The sequence below is a fragment of the Homo sapiens genome, chromosome 5 (assembly GCF_000001405.40).
Source record: "Homo sapiens chromosome 5, GRCh38.p14 Primary Assembly".
NCBI classification, from domain to species: domain Eukaryota; kingdom Metazoa; phylum Chordata; class Mammalia; order Primates; family Hominidae; genus Homo; species Homo sapiens.
The window spans coordinates 60,649,690-60,675,741 of record NC_000005.10 but is presented as its reverse complement, the minus strand read 5'-3'; the positions used below and the strand labels follow the sequence as shown (position 1 = coordinate 60,675,741).

At 40.7% G+C, this 26,052-nt stretch overlaps 1 protein-coding gene across 8 annotated transcripts in view, besides 1 other annotated feature; it reads left to right on the top strand.

Annotated features, from left to right (window-relative positions):
• DEPDC1B (DEP domain containing 1B) overlaps window positions 1–26,052 on the top strand; it is a 103,255-nt gene that overhangs the window by 24,425 nt on the left and 52,778 nt on the right. The window lies entirely within an intron of this gene.
• Window positions 23,346–23,640: a silencer, noted in NCBI's record as "tiled region #1909; HepG2 Repressive non-DNase unmatched - State 23:Low, and K562 Repressive non-DNase unmatched - State 9:DNaseU". NCBI's record gives its function as "represses a minimal TATA promoter and a strong SV40 promoter by Sharpr-MPRA in HepG2 and K562 cells {active_cell/tissue: HepG2 | K562}" and the evidence as "EXISTENCE:reporter gene assay evidence [ECO:0000049][PMID:27701403]".

The following is a 26,052-nucleotide window of genomic DNA, read 5'->3' as shown; positions in this document are numbered from 1 at the left end:
AGAATGCTAGCCGTGGGGCTGAAAAGGAAGGAAGGGCCTGTGTTTTATAGGCAAATTTCAGGCTAGACCCTGTAACTGCTCTGTATGTAGTCCGTAAGCTTTGTTTGAAGTCTGATTATTTTTGAACAAAGTTTTAAACATATTGTTCATTAATCTGAAATTGCTAGTTACATTTAGAATCTTTGTTAATGTTTAGCATCTGCTTACAGAGGCTTGGAATGTAACTGTAACTGTTTTCAAGCCAATGAACAGTTCTTCAAACATACCTGCAGTGTTTAGTGGGTGTCTAAGTCTTTGTGATGGGTTTGTTCCTAGGTAATCTCTCAAGGATTTTGGAGTCCCTGGAGCTGGGTGACTGTCTCAGAGTCTGTACCCACATCTCCCACAAAGGTCAAGAATGAATGCCCAGGTTGTTGTGGGATAATGATGAAAATATACATAGGGACAACTTGGTTGCTGCCAGGCATTTCTTTTCTATTTCTGTTTCTTGCCAAACTCCTTTTCTATTTTGTAGGAATCCTCATTTGTGTGGGTGTTGGTGGGAGGCAGGGCCCTGTGCCCTACAGTGGAAACCGACAGGGGTGAGACACTCCTGCTTCCTACCCCTGGCAGTGAGGGCTCAGGCATGTCTTCTCCTTGGTCATTTGTATGTTCCTCCTTAGGACTTTGAATCTTGAATGAGGCATGCAAAGGGGAAGGGACAGCTTAGAATCCTCCTGTGACAGACGTGGTGGACTGCAGGAGCAAGGACAGAAGTACACAGAGGCATCCAGAGCTACTGGCAGTGGCTTTAGGACCAGATTGTTCCTGGAGCATGAACTCACTTGTGCTTCCTTCTGTGTGTGCTGGGTGGCCTCCTTTTCCTCCTTTGTCTTATCCGCCACCCCCATCTTGTTTCTCCAGCTGTCCAATTGATTTTGTGTTCTATTTGGTATCTCCAAATTCCTTTATGGTTAAATCAGCCAGAATTTGTTTCTGTTCCTTACAGTTGCAACTAAGAACCCAGATGGATATAACAAGCAATGGCTGTAGAGTGAGCAAGACTGGGGCAGCTTTTTGGGCCTAGGAAATAGCACAATGACTATTATGTGTTTGTGACTGCAACAGATTATTAGGTGTATGTGAAAGCAAAGCAACAGATCATATTGATCTGTAGCAATCACACATATGGGGGATGGATTTGAGTTCAGGATCCTTTGTAGGCACTGAAGCACAGGAGCAGAGTCTACCAAGTATAAGTAGTAGGCCAGTTATATGTGGACCCAAGGTTCAAAGTTATGTATTAAGCTGATAAGTCAAACTGATTCTGGGGTTATGTTATCACTGCCATCTTTGCAAAAGAACTAGTACATGTAGGTGTGTTAAATAGAATGTTGAAATATATTGCCCTGAGTCATAAAAGGTAATTCCTGGTTATTGATAGACTTTTGTTTTATAATGTCCTTTTTTAGGCTTTTTGGTGATTAACTCATGATAATTTCAAATCCTTGGCTTATTCTTCTATCCTGATCCTTCATTTGGGGTCATAGTTCCTGCTGATTTCTTTATCCTTTTCCTTTATATTTATTTGTTTTAAACACTTGGTCTTACCAACTGGCCTTGAAATTTTTTTTTTTTTAATATCCTTACCCAGGTTTCTTTGCTGAGAATTCATGATGCCTAGTTATTATCCACTAGTGTCCTTAACCTCTTTATTCCTGAGTTTGCAATTTTTTGAATTTTTGCAATCAGACCTTGGTGGTGACCTTGAGCAGTAGGATAGAGATGACTCCCACATGCTTAGCGTTCCAATAATGGAACAGGAGGCATAAATGAGTTTAAATGGGAAATGGAATAAAGGACTCCAGAAATATGAAAGGAGCACGGCTGACTGAAAGCTCCCAATTTACACAGAAGAGAACACTCTTTTGGAGAGAACAGGGATTGAACAAGAGTAGTTCTCAGATATTATTGACCTAGAAACAAAATAATAAATATCATATAGGCATTAATCAGTTCTAAACTATAACTTGCTGAGAAGAGTGGTAACTTGCCTTGAGATGTTGGTTGTTAAGACTAGATTTATAAAAGTTGTTGAAAGCTGGGGTATACTATTCCCTGAATTTGTGGAGTTGACAAGCTCTCAAACTAGGAATGGGAGAGGCCCACCAAATGTTTCCTGTGAACATAAGGAAGCACAGTCAGCTTAAGCATTTTATGCAGCTAGTGCCCAGTCAGCATTTCCCCAGTCACTTGATTAACACTTCTTTTCCGGCTTCTTAGCTCAGTTTTGTGTTTTTGGGTCTCTGTTAATTAGATCCTCACATATGCTGCTTCTTCCAGTGCCCCCCGCTCCTCCTCCTCTCCTTTCTCAGGCATCATGGAGTTCCTGTTGTATGCCAGGCATGGTGCTAAACACTTTTGATGCATGCCCCTATCTATAGTTTAGTTAGAAAGACAAACAGATAAATTCGAATTTATTGTTTCACATGCTGCAATGTATGTGAATTCATTGTTATAGGAGGGCTGAGGAATTAACTCTGCTTGAATCAGTCAGAGAATAGTTTGCTGTAGAGGTGACACTTGAGTCTTGATGCATCAACAGGTGTGTGTCAGGGAAGGAAGGGAGACAGGTTGGTCAGGGTGATCAAGGGCGCGGGAACCCAGTAAACAAGTTAGGTATTATTACACAGGCAGTTGTGGGAGATAAGGCTGTGAAAGAATTTGCCTTTTATCTCTGTGTCCTCAACACCCAGCATAATGCCCAGTATTTATTGACAAAGAAGTTCAAAGGTTAGTCAGTGAGTTCCCTTTCTTACTGTGAAGGAGTTAAACAATAATCACCCTACCTCTGTTCCCCAGTTAAGGTCGCTCAGTCCTCCCCATATCAGGTGAACTGCAGTTAAGTATAATGTGAGCTTAGTATGGAAGGACTATAACAAACACAGGTTTAGAATGAGGCAGGCCTGGGGTCTAATCTCAGCTTTCAGTTACTACCATTCATGTGATCTTAAGCAAAATGCTGACACTCTCTGAATCTCTGTGACCTCATCTACAAAGTAAGACTGCTAACATTTCTGTTTTTAGGATATACTGGTCACCAAGAATAGATGTAGGTATGACATGATTTGCCTCTGTGTCCCCACCCAAATCTCATGATGAATTGTAATCCCCACATGTCAGGGGAGGGACCTGGTGGGAAGTGATTGGATCATGGGGGAGGATTTCCCCCTTTCTGTTCTTGTGATAGTGAGTTATCACGAGATCTGATGGTTTAAAAGTGTGGCACTTTCCCCTTTGCGCTCTTTCTTTCTCTCCTGCCACCTTGTGAAGAAGGTGCTTGCTTCTCCTTTGCCTTCTGCCATGATTTTAAGTTTCCCGAGGCCTCCCCAGCCATGTGGAACTGTGAGTAAATTAAATCTCTTTTCTTTATAAACTACCCAGTCTCAGGTAGTTCTTTATACCAGTGTGAAAACGGACTAATACAAGGTATTTACCAAGTCTACTGTAACTTGCGCTCAAATTGAATGAGCCAGTTGTTGGGGATACAGTGGGAACATGACAGACAGACTTTTTACCCTGGTGAAGGCTATACAACAAGCAAATAAGTGTTCCTTTATCTCTGTATCCACCAGACCCAGGTCAACAAACTTGATCTGAAAAGGGCCAGATAGTGAATATTTGCAGGTCATATAACCTCTGTCAGAATTGCTTAACTGCAGTTGTAGGGAGAAAGCAGCCATACACGGTGTGTCAATGAATGGACATGGCTGTGTTCCACCAGTAAGACTTTACATCTAATAAAGCAAGTGGTGGGATTTGGCTCACAGGGCATAGTTGTTAGACTCTAAGTTTCTTGAGGGCAAAGACTGTTGTTTATTCTTGTATCTTTGTTACCTATTGGTGTCTGATATGTGGCAGGTACTTACATTGTTTGCACTGATCTGAATTCATTACACATAAATAAGTACAAACTAATAGGAGACTCCATTAATTCAGGTCCTCTGAGAAGAGAAGCAGATGCCAAGAGGGAACTAGATGTGCAAGAGATTTAATGCCAGGGGTTGGGGTGGGGCACCAGGAAAGGATAAATGGGGAAGGGAACAGGAGGCAATGGAGTGAGCCTATAGGCTGTGATGAAGGCCTGACCTCAGGGAAAGCAGAGGGGAAAGAATTGGGTAGCAAGAGCCTAAGACCACATGCCAGAGTTCTGAAAATTTCCCCGGGCTGATGGGGAGTTCCCAAGCAAAGGATGCTGTTAGAGGAGTCTTAGGTCTTCTGGAAGGATTATCTTGGCTCATTACCTTGCTGTGCTCCTTGGTGGGCTGGAAGCAGCCTGGGGAAGTGTGAAAGGTAGAGCAGCTGGGAGCTGTTGGCTTCTTGGAGGGAAATGTGAGCTGTGCACCCCTGTGGCCAGCACAGTCCATTTCTTGTGCTTCACAGATCCGCTTGCCCACACGTTGGTGCTTTCTTCTTGAGTGGAAACCTAGAAGATGGAAATTACTAGGAAGACTATAGCCCCTATTGTTGCAGTTAGTCTCATTGCTGCAGCTGGTACTCATTCTCTCCCTCCTTGACTCTTCATCCTCAATCCCCTTACTGTCAGCCATCACCTTGGCAGGCCTTGGGTGCCTTACCTGGTAGTGTGACCCAAAACTTCATTCCTAAAGATCTGGACCCATGGTAATCATGCACTTTTTGAGCTAATGTTTCTGTACAAACCCATTCACAGTTACAGTGGGACAAGGAAGTATCAGGAAGTGCCATGTAGATCTCCAGGAAGTGCCACAGGTGTTTCTCCCTGCCCCGATTGTGTAAATGCAAGTCTCCTGCCTGCTGATCAGGATCCATGACCTCTGCCAAGATAGTGATTCCTTTTCTCTTCTCACCTGCTGCTCCCTGGCCACAAGGAGTCCGAATTACCCTTACTATGTCCCCTGTCAAGAATATGTCCCTTTGAGTAACAAGACTGCTAATTGCAGAGCCCAGGGTTATAGAGATGGGAAGCACAGGGAGGGATGGTAAGTAGGGCCACTCCTGCTTCCACCCTCTGGTTCCCAGTACCTGTATTCTTCCTAGGGGGATACAATGCCATATAGAGTCCTCTGACTTAATTCATATACCATTCCATTCTACATGTGTAGCTTGTCTCCATTGAAATCAGGTAATGTGAGTCCTCCAACTTTGTTCTTTTTCAAGATTGTTTGGGTTATTCTAGTTCTTTTTCTTTTTCATATACATTTTAGAATCAACTTGTTTATTCCTATAAAAATTCTTGCTGGGATTTTGAGTGAAATCATATATTTAGGTGCTTAATCTCTCAGCATTTTTTTTGTAGCTTTCCTGAGTATATAGATCCTGAACATATTTTGTTATTTTTTATTTTTTTGAGACGGAGTCTCGCTCTGTTGCCTAGGCTGGAGTGCAGTGGCGCGATCTCAGCTCACTGCCTCCTGGGTTCATGCCATTCTCCTGCCTTAGCCTCATAGTAGCTGGGACTACAGGCGCCTGCCACCACGCCCGGCTAATTTTTTGTATTTTTAGTAGAGACGGGGTTTTACTGAGTTAGCCAAGATGGTCTTGATCTCCTGACCTCGCGATCTGCCCGCCTGGGCTTCCCAAAGTGCTGGGATTACAGGCGTGAGCCACTGCGCCCTGCCTGTTATATTTATATCTAAGTAGTTCATGTTTTTTGGTGCAATAATCACCCCACGTATTTCTGGGGTGATTATTTCGGTGCAGTTTTCACCCCACCTATTGTGAGGTTTGGTGCAATAATCACCCCACTTATTGTGGGGTTGTGCTTTTTTAAGTGGTTGTAGTTTTTCTTGTAAATCTTGTATATGTATATATTTTTAAGTCATAGATATTTTATAGATTTTTTTCTGTTGCAAATGGAATTTATTTTCTAAATAACTATTGTTAATTTAAGGTAGGAGTGTCTTTCAGATAAGCTCACCTCTCTCCTTAAAAATGCTCACTTGATCCTTTACTTACAATGGAATCTTTATTCATGTGGAATAAGGAAAGATTTCTGAGTTTGGATTTTAAAGCCTTCCTTAGTTTGGTTTCCAGCTTCATCTCCCATTCTCCTTTCCTCAAACACTTTATGTTCCTGACATACTTTCAGAAAGTATTGTGAAATGTAATCATTAGCAGTTTTTCAGCATTTAGGTGATATATACCACTAATGGGCTCAAGAAATATGTTGAATGGGTTTACAGAGCACAGCAAAACCCTACAAATTGCTATGGTTTTGCATAAATCATGGATTTCTGGGAAATAGTAGTCTCAGAAGGATCAGCCCATATAATAAACAATATCTGGCTGTGTTTTTTTGTATTGTTGTTTGCTTTTTGTTTTTGGGTACAAAGTCTGTAAGTTAGTAAGGCAAGGAGGCAGGCTGGCCAAAGCTGTTGATGTTGCAAATTTCTGCTGATGCTTCCACAGTATATAGTTAATCTCTTAAAAGGGCTTTAAATCATTGAGAGAGCTATCATTTATCAAGTTTATTAAGATTTATAACTATGTTTCTTTGTGGTTTAGATGACTTAGAATAATTTTATTGATTTATTAGGTAATAAATCCTAATTTTTTTACAAGTAAATTCACCAGAGGATAGTTCTGGTATGAATTATTTTTAAATTGCTTTTCTCCAGCCAATATTTGGCAGTGGTGGTGGCACTAGGAGACCTGCTTGTTTGGTTGGACAATTAGCTGTGGCCAGTAACTTTTCTGGCCTTAATTTCTTCAGTGTACAAATGTGTAATTTGTTCTAGATGTTTTCTAAGGGAGTTTATAATTCTGGAATCCATGATCATGTTAGGATTAAATTTACAGTTTTTAAAGCAAAATGAAATTTAGCCCACTAGAGGGAGCTCTGCTCTTTTTAAATGTTGTCAGTTTTATTGAGAAAGACATCCTTCATAAAAGAATGTATGCTAATTTTTATTTCAGTAGCAGAAAATATTTGATGTTGACTTAAACTTTTGCCAATTTGATGTGTGTGAAATTCTGTTTCATGATGTTATCTTGAATTTCCTTGATTACTGATGAGGTTGAGTATATTTTTATGCTTATTCACCGTTCCTAATTCCACATCTGGAAATGCCTGGTTCATGTGTTTTGCCTTTCTTCACAGAAGTTTTTTCTTATAGATTCATTGTGGTTTAAAAAAATATATTCTGGGCCGGGCATGGTGGCTCATGCCTGTAATCCCAGCATTTTGGGAGGCCGAGGCAGGCGGATCACCTGAGGGCCAGGAGTTCGAGACCAGCCTTGCCAACATCATGAAACCCCGACTCTGCTAAAAATACAAAAATTAGCCAGGCGTGGTGGAACACACCTGTAGTCCAAGCTACTTGGGAGGCTGAGGCAGGACAATTGCTTGAACCTGGGAGGCGGAGGTTGCAGTGAGATGAGATTGCACCACTGCACTCTAGCCTGGGTGACAGAGCGAGACTCCATCTCAAAAAAAAAAATACATATATATATATATATATATAATATCCATTTTATATATATATATAAAATATCCATTTTATATATATATATAAAATATCCATTTTATATATATATAAAATATCCATTTTATATATATATAATATCCATTTTATATATATATAAAATATCCATTTTATATATATATATAAAATATCCATTTTATATATATATATAAAATATCCATTTTATATATATATAAAATATCCATTTTATATATATATAAAATATCCATTTTATATATATATAAAATATCCATTTTATATATATAATATCCATTTTATATATATAAAATATCCATTATATATATAAAATATCCATTTTATATATATATAAAATATCCATTTTTTATATATATAAAATATCCATTTTTTACATATATGTAAAATATCCATTTTTTACATATATGTAAAATATCCATTTTTTACATATATGTAAAATATCCATTTTTTATATATATGTAAAATATCCATTTTTTATATATATGTAAAATATCCATTTTTTATATATATGTAAAATATCCATTTTTTATATATATGTAAAATATCCATTTTATATACATGTAAAATATCCATTATATACATGTAAAATATCCATTATATACATGTAAAATATCCATTTTTCATATATGTAAAATATCCATTTTTTATATATATGTAAAATATCCATTTTTATATATGTAAAATATCCACTTTTTTATATATGTAAAATATCCATTTTTTATATATATGTAAAATATCCATTTTTTGTATATATGTAAAATATCCATTTTTTGTATATATGTAAAATATCCATTTTTTGTATATATGTAAAATATCCATTTTTTGTATATATGTAAAATATCCATTTTTTGTATATATGTAAAATATCCATTTTTTGTATATATGTAAAATATCCATTTTATATATATATGTATTCTGGATATTTACACTTTATCAGTTATATGGATTACAAAGATCTTTCTTTTTTTCACTTTATGGTATCTTGATGAACAGAAAAGTTCTTAATTTTAATGTAGTTGAATCTATCAGTCTTTTCCTTTATGTTGTGTGGTCTTAATACCTTTCTTAAAACAAGTCCCTTCATTACTCAAAGTCAGAGAGATATATTTTCTTTTATCTTAGAATAAGAGATATTTTTGTGCCTTATGTTTAATGGTTTTGCCCATGATTTTTTATTCATGCTGTGAGTTAGGAATTGTTTTGATTTTGTATTGCTGAGAAACAATCTACCCCAAACTTTAGTGACTTAAAGTAACCATTTTATTTTACTCATGGGTTTTGTGGCAAGCATTTAGAAAGAGCTCAACTAGTAGTTTTTCTCTTCCAATAAAGGTGGTGTCAGTTGGGCTAGAAGATTTACTTCTAAGATGGCTTCTTTCTCTGCTCACAAATGTGTCTTTGTGCTGCTTGACCTCTCTTTCTACATGAGGTTTCATTCTCTAGGTTATCTCCATGTGGGTTGTGCTTCTTGTAGCGTGATGGTCTTAGGGTAGTCGGTGCCACCTCTGGGCTGGAGGCCAACCAACACAAAACCAGTCACTAAACAAAACTACAACCAAGGACCCTCACAGAGTCCACTTCACTCCCCTGCTACCCTCACCTGAGCAGATGCTGGTATCCATGGCTGAGGGACCTGAAGACAGATCACATCACAGGAATCTTGGCAGACACTCCCCAGTACCAGTCCAGAGCCCAGTATGCACTGGGTGGCTAGACCCAGAAGAGAAATAACATAATCACTGCAATTTGGGTCTCAGAAAGCCCATCCTTAGGGAAAAGGGGAGAGTACCACATCGAGGTGTTATGGGGGGGGTCTTTGTTCTTAGAGCTCCCAAGATGTGGCGGTTCGCTCCCAAGATGGCAGCAAGCCTTTTGTTCTCTGACCTGGGATTCTTGGCTTCACGGATTCTAAGGAATGGAACCTTGGGCCATGCGGTGAGTGTTATAGCTCTATTAGAAGCAGTGGATCACGGAAGACAACTGTGGAACCCAGCAACTAGTGTTCAGCTCGATTAGACGAACCCTGGGCCCTTAGCCATGCAGGAACAATGGCAGGCCTCTAGCCCTATCAGGAGTGGCAATGGGCGCCTCGCTGGGTTAGAAGCACAGCCAACACCCTCCCGGATCTGGAGGGGTGGAAGTCAGTGGCGAGTCTGCGACAGTGGCAAACAACAGTGGTGGACGGCGAGCGAAAGCTCAGCTCGAGCTGTAACAAACGCGGACCAGAAGAGTGTGCAGTTGCAAGATTTAATAGAGTGAAAACAGAGCTCCCATACAATGGGAGGGACCCTAAGGGGGTTGCTGCTCCCTGCTGGAATGCCTGGGTTTATATCCCAATCATTGTCCCTCCCCCTGTGCTCTAAGGCGATATATGATTTGACTATTTCTTTACCTCCTGCTTTAGCCTAATTTGTATTTTAGTGAGCCCTCTTTACTACGTGATTAGTTGGGTGTGAGCTGAGTTACAAGCCCCGTGTTTAAAGGTAGGTGCAGTCACCTTTCCCAGCTAGGCTTAGGAATTCTTAGTCGGCCTAGGAAATCCAGCTAGTCCTGTCTCTCGGTCCCCGCTTCCAACAGGAAAACCCAAGTGTTGTTGGGGAGGTTGGCCGACTACCACTCTTAACTGCTTCCTGCTGAATTGGGGCGTAATAGGGGTCATGCAGTTGAGATTTCCTTGGGAGGGGTGCCTTCAATATCATTAACATCGGAGCATGGGCTAGCAGGCCGGTCCAGGGGTCCTGCGGTAGATCTTCATCATGGACTGCATCTGGGGCTCCATTTGAAGAACGATTTGTAGTTTTACAGCTTTGATTTTGGAAGAGACAAACTTAACAAGGAGGTTAAAGATACAGAGATTGAAATGTATAGCCTGAAGTGCAGGGGATTATTTCTTTGGCACACTTTACAGGCCCTGACTATCTGCTTCATAGTTTTGAAAAGGCCTGGTCCAATAAATAATGATTTGGCCATATCATGGGTGCTATTAATGCCTAAGTGAAAGGTCTGGTGAAGGGTTTTAAGTAATTTTCATTGGTTAGCTGCAGGCAAAAGTATTTTTTCTTCTTCGGTGGCTAGCCATCCTGAGGGGAGGAAACTATGTCCTCGTGAGGTTCCCCTTTCTATTTCTTCTGCTGAGTACTGGGGTTTGGTTTCCCAGAGGGGATTACTCCATACTAGGGGTCCTCTATAAGCATTTCTAATGGAGGGTCCCACCTTGCGGCTCTTTTGGTTTTAATATCCACTTGGCGGTTCCCTTCTATTTCCCTTTCCTTTCTGATGACCCCGGCAGTGTAAGACTGCCACCTCTTTAGGTTTTTGTACAGCCAATAATAATTTCCTAATGGCTTCCTGATGTTTGATAGGTGTTCCCTTGGAAGTTAGGAATTCCCTTTCTCTCCATATTGTTGCACGGGCATGGAGGACTAGGTAAGCATACTTAGATTCTGTATATATATTTACTCTTTTTCCTTCTCCTAACTCTAGTGTCTGAATGAGGGCTATTAGTTCTGCCACCTGAGCGCTAGTTCCTGGAGTGAGGGGATTACTTTCAAGTATTCCATTGTCACTGACCACTGCATACTCCGCCTTTTGAAGTCCTTTTTCTACAAAGGAGCTTCCATCAGTACACAAGTTGAGGTCGGGATCAGCCAAGGGAACCTCTAGAAGGTCCCCTCGAGCAGCGTAGGTTTGAGCAATTACTTGTTGACAGTTACGTTCTATCTTTTCTTCATTGTCTGGAAGAAATGTGGCTGGGTTAAGAGTTGCACAAGTGCACAGTCGCAGCACTGGCCCTTCAAGTAATAGAGCCTGATATTTAAGCAAATGGTTGTCTGACAGCCACAAGTCTCCTTTAGCAGTGAGTATGCTGTTCACATTATGAGATGGCCACACAGTAAGATCTCTTTCCCTGTATCATTTTAACTGCTTTAGATACTAAGACTGCTACTGCTGCCACTACCTGTAAACAATGAGGCCAACCCTTTGTCACTACATAAATTTCCTTACTCAGGTATGCCACGGGTTGCAAGCTGGTCTCTCGGACATGTGTAAGGACTCCTAGAGCTATTCCTGTTTTTTCTGTGACATATAAAGAAAAGTCTTGCCCCGTTGGCAAGCTTAACACTGGGGCATAGGTTAGGGCCTTCTTTAGGGCCAGAAAAGCCACTTCTGCTTCAGGTGTCCATTCTACTAAATGGGTATTGGCTTTCTGAGTTTCCTTAATTAGTGTGTATAATGGCCTGGCTATTTCACCGTACCTGGGAATCCATATTCGGCAGAAGCCTGTTATGCCAAGGAACCTCTTAATTGCTTCAGGGTTTTAGGATGAGGATAAGCCAGTATAGGCTGGATACATTCCTCACTGAGGGCCCTGGTGCCTTTGGATAATTTTAGCCCTAAGTATTTAACCTGCTGTAAGCAGAGCTGAGCCTTTGGTTTGGAAACCTTGTAGCCACAAGTGGTGAGGAAGTTTAAAAGCGCTTGAGTGGCTTGATGGCACAAGGTTTCTGAATGGGTGGCTAGAAGTAAATCATCCACATACCGAAGGACAAGAGTGACCAAGTATGAGAACTGGCTCAAGTCTTGGGCTAATGCCTGGCCAAATAGATGGGGGCTATCCCTGAACCCTGTGGGGTAAAACAGTCCAGGTGAGTTGAGATGTTGGGTTTGAAGGATCTTTAAAGGCAAATAAGAATTGAGAGTCAGAATGTACGGGGATGCAGAAAAAGGTATCCTTAAGGTCCAGGACTGTAAACCACTCTGCTTTCTCTGGTATTTGGGAAAGCATAGTATAAGGGTTAGGTACAGCTGGGTATAGAGGGACAACGGCCTCATTGATAATCCTGAGATCTTGCACTAACCTCCACTGTCCGTTGGGTTTCTGTACTCCTAAAATTGGAGTATTGCAGGAGCTATTGCTTGGTTTTACTAGGCCTTGGGCTTTTAGGTCCTTAACAATCTTTTGGAGTCCTTATTGGTCCTCGGGTCTAAGCAGGTAATGCCTTTGGTAGGGAACGGAGGTGGAACCCTTTAGTTTAACTTGAACGGGACGGGCATTGTTTGCTCATCCATATTGTCGTTTTGTTGCCCAGACTTCAGGATTAATTCCTTCCTTAAGTAGGGGACAAAAAAACGTGTTTCTTTTCCTATGTTCAGGTGTATAATGGCCCCTGCTTTTGCTAGAATGTATTTCCCTAACAAAGGAGTGGGCTTTCAGGCATAATTAGAAAGGCATGTGAAAAGAGTGAAGTTCCCCAATCATAACTTAGTGGCTAGGAGAAGTATTTAGTGACTGCCTGTTCTAGGACTCCTCGGATAGTGACAGATCTGGAGGACAGTTGGCCGGGACAGGAGAGTAAGACTGAGAAGGCCACGTCAGTGTCCAGGAGACAGTTAACCTCCTGTCCCTCAATGGTCAAGCATACCTGGGGCTCTGTGAGGGTGATGGCATGGGCTGGCACTTGTCCTGGGCATCCTCAATCCTGCTCCTGGATCATCTGGTTAGTGGCTTCTGACTCAGAGGACTTTTGTCCCCTGAGGCAGTGGGCCTTCCAGTGATTCCCTTGACATCACGGGCATGGACGAGGGGGCAGCTTATTTTTATTCGGACAGTCTTTTTTAAGGTGTCCTTGTAGGCTGCACTGAAAGAAAGCCCTATTAGGCATTCGATTTGCTCAACCTTTCCCTGTTTTAGAGCCTCCAAAGTCCGCTTGCCTGAGGGCCATGACTAAAGCAGTGGCCTTCTTTTTATCCTATTTGTCCCGTTCCACCTGTTCCTCTTGATCTCTATTATAAAAAACCGAGGTTGCCAAGTTCAATGGGGTTTCTAAGTTTTGCTCTGGGCCTACGGCAGACTTTGGAAGTTTTTTTTTTTTGAGACGGAGTCTCACTCTGTTGCCCAGGCTGGAGTGCAGTGGCGTGATCTCAGCTCACCGCAAGCTCTGCCTCCCGGGTTCACGCCATTCTCCCGCCTCAGCCTCTGGAGTAGCTGGGACTATAGGCGCCTGCCACCATGCCCGGCTAATTTTTTGTATTTTTAGTAGAGACGGGGTTTCACTGTGTTAGCCAGGATGGTCTCAATCTCCTGACCTCGTGATCCACCTGCCTCAGCCTCCCAAAGTGCTGGGATTACAGGCGTGAATCACCATGCCCGGCCTGAAGTTTTTTTTTTAATGTCTGCAGCTGACTGAGTGATAAACTTATCCTTTAAGATTAGTTGGCCTTTAATAGAGTTAGGTGACAAAGAGGTATGCTTTCTCAGTACCTCCCTTAGTCTCTCCAGAAAGGCAATAGGATTTTCTTTCTTTCCCTGTATTATGGTGGACATCATTGAATAATTTATAGGCTTTTTCCTAGTTTTTTAAAGTCCTTCTAGCACGCAAGTTAGTAAATGTCTGCAGCACCAATCTCCATGTTCTGATTCTGTGTCACAATGAGGGTCTACACTGGGAACTGCCTGCTGGCTGGTGGGGAATTGTTCTTTTTTCTCTGTTGTCATCCTATCATTGACCTGACTGAGATACCAGAGATCGCCAAACTCTCGGGCTGCAGTTATGGCGGCACTTTTCTTATTTAGGGTTAGTATCTGATCTAGCAGTAACATTATATCTCTCCATGTCAGATCAAAGGATTGTCCTAGCCCTTGTAAAACATCAATATAGCCATCAGGGTTATCTGATAATTTACCTAGGTCTGTTTTAATTTGCTTCAAGTCTGAGAGGGAAAAAGGTACATGCACTCTGACTGGGCTGAATTCTCCAGAATACATCTTAAGGGCATTTTTGCCTTGAGGGGAACGTTTCCCGTCTGAAAAAAGTACATAGGGATGCCAGGACCCCTAGTCTTTTTCCGACGAGCATAGTCCTAGAGTGTTCTCTATGGTCCTAATGCTTATTCCTTTCCAGGGTGTGTAACCACCCATGGACCTCTGCTTATCAGATTAGTTACATTTACCAATGTAGCAGTCCTGCACCCCTTTTCCTGCTTTTCTTGACCACAAAGAAAGGGTTCCAGGCTTCTGGATTCTAGTGGTCCTTTACCAGCGTGCCCAACATTGCCTTTGTGCTCTGGGGTGAGTCCTAGAGCTGAGCTGGGTTCCTGAGTATTTCATAACCCAGCTGCCCCATTAAGATGTATTCCCATAAACAACAGTTCTTATGCAAATTTATTTCAGAGAGGGTGTAGGTAACCTTTTGAGTCAGGATTGAGATAGAGTTTTTTTTGTTTTTATTCCGTAAGTGCTTTAAGGCTTGGCTGAGTGCAAACAGCTTGCACGTTTCAGCAGACCAGTTATTAGGCAATTTTCCTAACTCTGCTTTTACAAGAGTTTCCCTATTAATTACTGAATACCCATTGTGTTTTTTCCTTAATCACCTGGGAGGAACCATCTGTCCTCCTTTTCTGAAGGGAGTTCCTCCTAGGTCTGGTTGGACCTTTGTATGGTAATTAAGATTTAAATCCTCTGTTAGGAAGTCTGCTGGGTTAAGGGAATTTTCAGTGGTTAGTGTTAAATCACCTTTTTTCTAACAGAATAGCCCCATACTTTAAGATTTTTGAGTTAGTAAGCTACCTTTTTGCTTTTTTTGACTTAGGATAGTTCTGAACTGGTGAGGTGTGCTTACAATGAGGTTTCCCCTAAAAGTTATTTTTTTACTTTCTTCTGCTAGCAAAGCAGTTGCTGCTACAGATTGAATGCATTTGGGCCATCCACGGGTTACTGGGTTAAGGATTTTTGATAGGAAGGCTGTGGGTTGTCAGTGGCCTCAGTCCTTTTGGGCTACGCTCTTGTTTATACTGACAACAAAGTGGTATTGGAGTGTTATAGGGTCCCGGAGAAGACCTTCAGTTATTAATTATAGGTTTTAAATTTACCCTGGCTTTTAAAGGAATAGGGTACACTTTTTTCTTTACTACTTCTTTTCTTTCTCTCTCTCTCTCTCTCCCCCCCTTTGTCTCTCTCTCCTGTCTCTTTCTCTCTCCTCTCTGTCTCTCTCTCTGTCTCTCTCCTCTCTGTCTCTCCTCTCTGTCTGTCTCTCTCTCTCCTCGCTTTCTGTCTCCTGTTTTTCTCTCTCTCTCTCCTCTCTGTCTCTCTCTCTTTCTCTCTCTCTCTCCTCCTCTCTATCTCCTTGTAGATGGATTTTGGAAACACAGTGGAAGGACGTTTGCTTGTTGCCCCCATTTGCCACTATAGGAATACGCGCCTCCCTGTAATTTACTCAATTCATTTTCATCCTGATCTATTATGTTGTTGTAGATCCAGTTCCAGTTGTTAAAGTACTGGGTTATCAGTTCTAAGGCCCTGCAAGGGTGGTGGGGAACAGGTCCCACATAACTGCCCATGTCAAGAGCTGTATACCTAAATTGGAGGGACACCGGGGACAAGACTCCCTGGGTTCATAGCTTAGATGCCTAATGATGCAGCATAGAGCTTCTTTAGATCCCTTTGGAGATACAACTTGCTAGAGGGAATGAAAGTCTGAACCATTAGTACCTAGAAGGCAGGGATCAAAGGAAGTAGATTCAGAGGTAAGGAGAATTTGGGGGCTACACTTTCAAGAAAGTCATGGTTGGGACCCAGGAGGTATGGGTCAGAAGGAAAGGTGGGGCGCATACATGGGCGGCTGGTTGAATAGAGACTTCTGGCTGTGCCGTGATCTCAACTGGCTAATGCCAGGAGTTCGGGATGACAGCTTTCTGCTACTAGTCAGCCCTTGGCTTCCCCAGGAAAATTGTGAAAGTGGAAGCTGGTTCCAGGCAGACCAATGCTCCCAAGCCAGAAGGGTTGGGGGTTGTTAGAAAGCCCTTCCCTAGATAGCCTCACACCTGAGTCTTAAGTCCAGCAGCCATGCTACTGTTTTTAACTGGCTGACAGGTGCCCAGTATTTTACTCCAATTCTAAGGAAGTATAGGACAGAATAGCAAGCGAAAGTGGTCCGATATTACTCACTGCTTTGGAGAATCCCCATATGGGCCACCAGATGTTACGGGGGGTGGAGGGGGTCTTTGTTCTTAGAGCTCCCAAGATGCGACGGGCCGCTCTCAAGATGGGGGTGGGCTGCTCCCAAGATGGCTGCAAGCCTTTTGTTCTCTGACCAGGGGTTCTTGGCCTCATGGATTCCAAGGAATGGAACCTTGGGCCATGCGATGAGTGGTATAGCTCTATTAGAAGCTGTGGGTCATGGAAGAGAACTGTGGAACCAAGCAACTAGTGTTCAGCTCAATTAGGACGAACCCTGGGCCCTTAGCCATGCAGGAAAATGGTGAGCCTCTAGCCCGATTGGGAGCGGCAATGGGTGTCTCGCTGGATCAGAAGCACAGCAGACACCCTGCTGGATCCGGAGGGGTGGAAGTCAGTGGCCGGTCTGCGACAGTGGTAAACAGCAGTGGTGGATGGTGAGCAAAAGCTCAGCTTGAGCCGTAACAAACATGGACCAAAAGAGTGTGCAGTTGCAAGATTTAATAGAGTGAAAACAGAGCTCCCATACAATGGGAGGGGACCCTAAGGGGGTTGCTGCTCCCTGCTGGAATGCTTGGGTTTATATCCTGATCATTGTCCCTCCCCCTGTGCTCTCAGGTGATATATGATTTGACTATTTCTTTACCTCCTGCTTTAGCCTAATTTGTATTTTAGTGAGTCCTCTTTACTACCTGATTAGTTGGGTGTGAGCTGAGTTACAAGCCCATGTTTAAAGGTAGATGTAGTCACCTTTCTCAGCTAGGCTTAGGAATTCTTAGTCGGCCTAGGAAATCCAGCTAGTGTTGTCTCTCAAAGGGATCACCCCATGGGACAAAATAATCTGAACAATAGCCCTTGATCCCCAGATCTTCCCTTTGACATAATCTACACAAATGAAAAGGAAGCAGAAAAACAATTCTGGTAATATAACAAAACAAGGTTCTTTAACACTCCCCAAAAGATTACACTAGTTCACCAGCAACGGATCCAAACCAAGAAGAAATCCTTGAATTGCCAGAAAAAGAATTGTGAAGGTAGATTATTAAGCTTCTCAAGGAGTCACCAGAGAAAGGGGAAGTTCAACTTAAAGAAATTTAAAAAATGATACAGGATATGGATGGAAAAATCTTCAGAGAAACAGATAGCATAAATAAAAAACAATCACAACTTCTGGAAATAAAGGACAAACTTAGAGAAATGCAAAATACACTGGAAAGTCTCAGTGATAGAATCAAACAAATAGAAGAAAGAACTTCAGAGCTTGAAGACAAGGCTTTTGAATTAACCCAATCCAATAAAGACAAAGAAAAAAAGAATTAAAAAAGTGAACAAAGCCTCAAAGAAATTTGGGATTATGCTAAATGACCAAACCTAAGAGTAATTGGTCTTCCTGAGGAAGAAGAGAAATCTAAAAGTCTGGAAAACATATTTGAGGGAATAATCAAGGAAAACTTCCCTGGCCTTGCCAGAGATCTAGACATCCAAATACAAGAAGCTCAAAGAACATCTGGGAAATTCATCGCAAAAAGGTAATCACCTAGGCACATAGTCATCAGATTATCTAAAGTCGAGATGAAGGAAGGAATCTTAAGAGTTGTGAGGCAAAAGCACCAGGTAACCTACAAAGGAAAACCTATCAGATTAACAGGAGATTTTTAGCAGAAACCCTGCAAGCTAGAAGGGATTGGGGTCCTATCTTTAACCTCCTTAAACAAAATAATTATCAGCCAAGAATTTTGTATCCAGTCAAACTAAGCTTCATAAACAAAGCAAAGATACAGTCTTTTAAAGACAAATGCTGAGAGAATTTGCTACTACCAAGCTACTATAAGAACTGCTAAAAGGAGCTCTAAATCCTGAAACAAATGCATGAAATACACCAAAATAGAACCTCTTTAAAGCATAAATCTCACAGGACCTATAAAACAGTAAAACAGTGAAAAAAAACAACAAGGTATTCAGGCAACAAGTAGCACAATGAATAGAATAGTACCTCACTTCTCAGTACTAACATTGAATGTAAATGGCCTAAATGCTCCACTTAAAAGATACAGAATGTGGCAGAATGGATAAGAATTCACCAACCAAGTATCTGTTATTTTCAAGAGACTCACCTAACACATAAGCACTCATATAAACTAAAGGTAACGGGGTAGAAAAAGATATTCCATGCAAATGGATGCCAAAAGCGAGCAGGAGTAGCTGTTCTTATATCAGACAAAACAGACTTTAAAGCAACAATAGTTAAAAAAGACAAAGAGGAATATTATATAATGATAAAAAGGACTGTTCCAACAGAAAAATATCACAATCCTAAATATATATGTACCTAACACTGGAGCTTTCAAATTTATAAAACTATTACTACTAGACCTAAGAAATGAGATAGACAGCAACACAGTAATTGTGGGTGACATGGTTTGGCTCTGTGTTCTCACCCAAATCTCTTCTAGAATTGAAATCCCTACAATCCCCATGTGTTGAGGGAGGAACCAGGTGGGAGGTGATTGGATCCTGGGGACAGTTTTCCTCATGCTGTTCCCCTGAGAGTGAGTTCTCATGAGATCTGATGGTTTTATAGGGCAATTTTCTCTGCTCTTGTTTGCTCTTTCTCTCCTGCTGCCTTGTGAAGAAGGACACGTTTGCTTCCCCTTCTGCCATGATTGTAAGTTTCCTAAGGCCTCCCCAGCAATGCAGAACTATGATTTAATTAAACTTCTTTTCTTTATAAATTACCTGGTCTCTGGCAGTTTTTATAGCAGTATGAAAACAGACTAATACAGTGGGGGACTTCAGTACTCCACTGGCAGCACTAAACAAATCATCAAGACAGAAAATCTACAAAGAAACAATGGACTGGGGCTGGGCACGGTGGCTCATGCCTGTAATCCCAGCACTTTGGGAGGCCGAGGCGGGTAGATCACGAGGTCAGGAGATCGAGACCACAGTGAAACCCCGTCTCTACTGAAAATACAAAAAATTAGCTGGGTGCAGTGGTGGGTGCCTGTAGTCTCAGCTACTCGGGAGGCTGAGGCAGGAGAATGGCGTGAACCCAGGAGGCGGAGCTTGTAGTGAGCCAAAATCGCACCACTGTACTCCAGCCTGGGTGGCAGAGTGAGACTCCGTCTCAAAAAAAAAAAAAAAAAAATGGACTTAAACTATACCTTAGGACAAATGGACTTAAGAGATATTTACAGAACATTCTATCCAGTGAGTGCAGAATATACATTCTATTCATCAGCACATGGAACATTCTCCAAGATAGACCATATGATAGGCCACAAAACAAGTCTCAATAAATTTAAGAAAATTGAAATTATATCAAGTACTCTCTTAGACCACAGGGGAATAAAATTGGAAATCAACTCCAAAAGGAACCCTCAAAGCCATGCAAAGACATGGAAATTAAATAACCTGCTCCTGGATTATTGTTGGGTCAATAACAAAATCGAGATGGAAATTAAATTATTTGAACTGAACTATGGTAGTGACCCAACCTATGAAAATCTCTGGGATACAGCAAAAGCAGTACTAAGAGGAAAATTCATTGTATTGAATGGCTACATAAAAAAATCTGAAAGAGCACAAATAGGCAATCTAAGGTCACACCTCAAGGAACTAGAGAAAGAAGAACAAACCAAAACCCAGCAGAAGAAAATAAATAACAAAGATCAGAGCAGAGCTAAATGAAATTGAAACAAAAAATAATACAAATGATAAACGAAACAAAAAGCTGGTTCTTTGGAAAGATAAACAAAATCAATAGACCATTAGTAAGATTAACCAAGAAAAGAGAGACGATCCAAATAAGCTCAATTAGAAACAAAATGGGAAATATTACAACTGATACCATATAAATACAAAAGATCATTAAAGGCTACTAGGAACACCTTAATGTGCACAAACTAGAAAACCTAGAGGAGATGTATAAATTTCTGAAAATATATAACCCTCCTAGATAAAACCAGGAAGAAATAGAAACTCTGAACAGACCAATAGCAAGCAGCGAGATTCAAATGGTAAGAAAAAAATAGCCAGCAACAATAAAAAGTCTAGGACCAGAAGGATTCACAGCTGAATTCTATCAGATATTCAAGGAAGAATTGGTACCAATCCTATTGACACTATTTCAAAATATAGAGAAAGAGGGAATCCTCCCTAAATCATTCTATGAAGCCATTATCGCCCTTATATCAAACCAGGAAAGGATATAACAAAAAATAAAACTATAGACCAATATCCCTGATGAACATAGATACAAAAATCCTCAATAAAATACTACCTAACCGAATCCAACAGCATATCAAAAAGATAATCCACCATGGTCAATTGGGTTTCATATCAGGGATGCAGGGATGGTTTAACATCTGCAAGTCAATAAATGTGATATACCACATAAACAGAACTAAAAACAAAAATCATGATCATCCCAATAGACACAGAAAGAGCATTTGACAAAATCCAGCATCACTTTATGATTGAAATCTTCAGCAAAATCAGCCTAGAGGGGATGTACCTTAAGGTAATAAAAGCCATCTATGACATACCCACAGCCAACACTATACTGAACAGGGAAAAGTGGAAAGCATTCCCCCTGAGAACTGGAAAAAGACAAGGATGCTGACTTTCACCACTTCTATTCAACATAGTACTGGAAGTCCTAGTTGGAGCAAGCAGAGAAGAGAAAGAAATAAAGGCATCCAAATTGGTAAAGCGGAAGTCAAACTGTCACTGTTTCTTGATGATATGATCGTATACATAGAAAACCTTAAAGACTCATCCAAAAAGCTCCTGGAACTGATCAATGAATTCAGTAAAGTTTCAGGATACAAAATTAATGTACACAAATCAGTAGCACTGCTATAACCCAACAGTGACCAAGCTGAGAATCAAATCAATAACTCAATTCCTTTTACAATAGTACCCCCCACCAAAAAAAAAGAAAAAAAAAACACCAAAAAACTTAGGGAATATACCTAATCAAGAAGGGGAAAGATCTCTACAAAGAAAACTACAAAACACTGCTGAAAGAAATCATAGATGACACAAACAAATGGAACACATTCCATGCTCAGGGATGGGTAGAATTAACATTGTAAAAATGACTGTACTACCAAAAGCAATCTACAAATTCAATGCAATTCCCATTAATATACCACCATCATTCTTCACAGAACTAGTAAAAACAATCCTAAAATTTATGTGTAACCAAAAAAGAGCCCACATAGCCAAAGCAAGGCTAAGCAAAAAGAACAAATCTGGAAGTATTACATTGCCTGACTTCAAGCTATGCTATAAACCTATAGTCACCAAAACAGCATGGTATTGCTGTGAAAATAGGCACATAGAGCAATGGAACAGAATAGAGAACCCAGAAATAAAGTGAAATACTTACAGCCAACTGATCTTCAACAAAGCAAAGAAAAACATAAAGTGGGGAAAGGACACCCTATTCAACAAATGGTGCTGGGATAATTGGCAAGCCACATGTAGGAGAGTGAATCTGGATCCTCATCTCTCACCTTATGCAAAAATCAACTCAAGATGGATTAAAGACTTAAATATAAGACCTGAAATCATAAAAATCGCAGAACATCAGAAAAACCCTTCTAGATATTGGCTTAGACAAAGACTTCATGACCAAGAACCCAAAAGTAAATGCAACAAAACAAAGACAAATAAATAAATAGATGGGACTTAATTAAACTAAAAAGCTTCTGCATAGCAAAAGAAATAATCAGCAGAGTAAACAAATAACCCACAGAGTAGGAGAAAAATGTTCACAAAGTACGCACCTGACAAAGGACTAATATCCACAATGTACGAGGAACTCAATCAAACCAGCAAGATAACAACAAACAATCCTTTCAAAAAGTGGGCTAAGGACATGAGTAGACAATTCTCAAAAAAAGATATGCGAATGGCCCACAAACACATGAAAAAATGGTCAACATTACTAACGATGAGGGAAATGCAAATCAAAACCGCAATGTGATACCACTGTACTCCTGCAAGAATGACCATTAAAAATAAAAAGATGTTGAAATGGATGTGGCAAAAAAGGAACACGTTTAGACTGCTGGTGGGAATGTAAACTAGTACAACTATGGAAAACAGTGTGGATGGAGATTCCTTAAAGAACTTAAAGTAAATCTGCCATTTGATCCAGCAATCCCACAACTGGGTATCGACCCAGAGGAAAGGAAGTCATTATACGAAAAAGACACTTGCACACACATGTTTATAGCAGCACAATTTGCAGTTGCAAAAATATGGAACCAGCCCAAATGCCCATTAATCAATGAGTGGATAAAGAAAATATGGTGTGTATAAATATACACCATAGAATACTACTCCACCATAAAAAGGAACAAAATAATGACATTTGCAGCAATCTGGATGAAATTGGAGACCATTATTCTAAGTGAAGTAACTCAGGAATAAAAAACCAAACATTGCGTGTCCTCACTTATAAGTGGGAGCTAAGCTATGAGGATGCAAAGGCATAAGAATGATATGATAGACTTTAGGGACTTGGGGAATGGGTGGGAGGGTGATGAGGGATAAAAGACTATACATTGGTTACAGTATACACTGCTCGGGTGATGGGTGCACCAAAATCTCAGAAATCATCACTGAAGAACTTATTCATGTAACCAAACACCACCTGTCCCTCAAGACTTATTGAAATAATAAATAAATAAAAAGGATTCTACAAAAAAGAAACCTTATAAACTGAGTTCCTAGCCATGATGGGATAGGGGGTTGGACAAGCCTCAGTATGTCCCTTCCTTAGTAACCTTTAACCAGATTTCTTTCCTAAGAAATAAACAGAAACCAGCTCTGGAGAACAAGAAACAGATGACTCATTGCTTTATCATCTTAAGCCAATCATCTGAGGCTGTGACTGGACTCTTCCTACTTTTTTTGCAATTTCACAATACATCCCTTGCTAAAAACTGACCACCATCTCCAGACCGGTTTTGGCTGACTGGTGGAGGATACACGGTGATGGTTTTGTGTCCTCTGCTTCATCTTTTGACATCAGTGGGCTGAAAACTCCATTTTCAGATCATGCTAATGCCACCATTTTTTGAACATGCAACCCATGAAAGGTGCATGAAGCGCAATTGCACATGTGCATATTTCTTCTTTCATAAATATTCATGACTCTTCCTTTAGCTTATTAAATATGCATATTTGGCTACCTCACTCAGCATAAATTCCTGTTCCCTTTACCCCTCCCTCAAAGTGCTTGCTCTCAGCTGCTGTTGGAGGCTTTGTTTCCCATCCTGTGGGATGGCCAGCATACAGGCTGAAACCCTTTATGAGAAATAAAGCTCTTCTTTTCAAATTTATCCACCTCATCATTCTTAAATTGGCACAATCCACACCTGGTTATTGCAGCTGTTATAAAAGAAACCAGTTGTCATTTTCATCATTCATCCTGGGAAATTTGTTCACCAGATCCACCTTTTCTAGTTTCCCTATTACCACAGGTGACAGTTGTACTGAAATTTATGCCACTGTGCAACACAGATTTTTTTCTCCACCTTCCATACTGTTTCACAACAACTTCCTTACTGTTCTTTCAACCTCTATTAAGAAGTCCATCTGAGGCCCTTCATGCATCCATTTCACTGCCCGATCCTGTTGCAGATACCACACATTTCTTTTCTAGTTATCTGTTGTGTAATAAAACTATGTCAAACTTACTGGATTAAAATAACCATTGTAGTTTTTTTTAGTTTTTTTTTTGTTTTTTTTGTTTTTTTTTTAGGTGGAGTCTCTCTCTGTTGCCCAGTCTGAAGTGGTGCAGTGGTGCAATTTCAGCTCACTGCAACCTCCGCCTCCTGGGTTCAGGCAATTCTCCTGTCTTTGCCTTCCGAGTAGCTGGAATTACAGGCACACGCCACCATGCACGGCTAATTTTTGTATTTTTAGTAGAGACGAGATTTCACGATGTTGGCCAGGCTGGTCTCGAATTCCTGACCTCAGACAATCCACCCACCCTGGTCTCCCAAAGTGCTGGGATTACAGGTGTGAGCCACTGTGCCGGCCCATTGTAGTTTTTACATAATTGTGTGGATCAGGAATTTTGGAAGGTTGCTTAGGTGGGCATCAGCTGCGGCTGCTGAGGCTAGAGAATCCACCTCCAGGAATATTTGTTTATTTGCAGATCTGGAATTTTGGTGCTCCTTTACCTCAGTTTATTTCCTTGCAGTATCTCATCTTCTAGGGCCTCTTCCTGTTGCTTAGGTATTTGACAACATGGTGGGCTCACGGTAGTCATACTTCTTATAAGATGGCTGGTTTCCAAGAGGGAGCTTCATAATAATGAGTTATACAAGAGTGAGAGTTTCAAGAGGCAGGAAGAGAGTTCTAGCCAGTTAGGCTAGTGCTTCTTCCTTATTGTATTTATCAAAGCAGTTAGACAGGGCTCACCTAGACTTGAAGAGGGTAGAGAAAGACATTCTGCCTCTTGATACAGTAGTGGCAAGATCATATTGCAAAAGAGCATATGGTTAGGAGGTATGATTGTAAACACCTTTGGAAATATGGCAGGCTGAACCGGGATGCAATTTCATTTTTCCCAAATGGATAACCAGTTGGCTCAGTACTATTTATTGAACAGTCCATACTTTCCCACTGATCTGTAATGTCTGCTCTATCATAAATCATGTTTCTAAAGAGTAGTGTGTATTTGTTTTGAATTGTCTTTGTTTAGGCCCATGATTCGCAACTGGGGGCCATTTTGCGGAAGACATTTGGCAATGTCTGGAGAAATGTTTTGTTGTCACAACAGGTGTGTGTGTTGTGTGTAGGGTGCTACTAACATCCAGTGAGTAGAGGCCAGGGATGCTTTGCACTTAGCAGCATCCCCCAGTGCACAGGACAGCTCCCCACAACAAAGAACTATCCGGCCCTAAATGTCAACAGTGCGGAGCTTGAGGAACTATGGTCTCTGCCATCAGTATTGCCGTATTATGTTAGCCTTGATATCTGATAGGACAAGTCACCTCACTTTGTTTTTCTTCTTTAAGAATGTCTTATTTTTGGGCCTTTGCATTTTCATATAAATTTTAGAATCAGTTGATCATGTTTCTTATTTTTTTACTTTAGAGATGGGGGTCTTGCTTTATTGCCCAGGCTGGTCTTGAACTCCTGGCTTCAAGTGATCCTCTCATCTCAGCTTCCCGAGTAGCTGGGACTACAAGTGTAAGCCACCGTGCCTGGTTTGGAATAAGTTTATGATGTTTCATAAAAATTTTTATATTAATATTTTTATTAAATTTTCTTTGTAACTATGTATCTTCATGGGGGAAAATTAACATTGTATGATATGGAATCTTATTCACCAAGCTGCGCACAGTGGCAACTACTTGTAATCCCAGCTACTTGGGAGGCTGAAACAGAAGGACAGGAGGATTGCTTGAACCTGAGTTTAAGAAAGAATCTTATTCACCAGCATAATATAGCTATCAATTTAGTTCTTCTTTAATGTCTTTCAATAAAATTTTATAGTTTTCTTTCTTTTTAGGGGGGCACACTGTCTTTTTTTTGTGTAAAAATTTTATAATTTTCTTAATAAAAGGCTTGCAAATCCTTTGTGTAAGA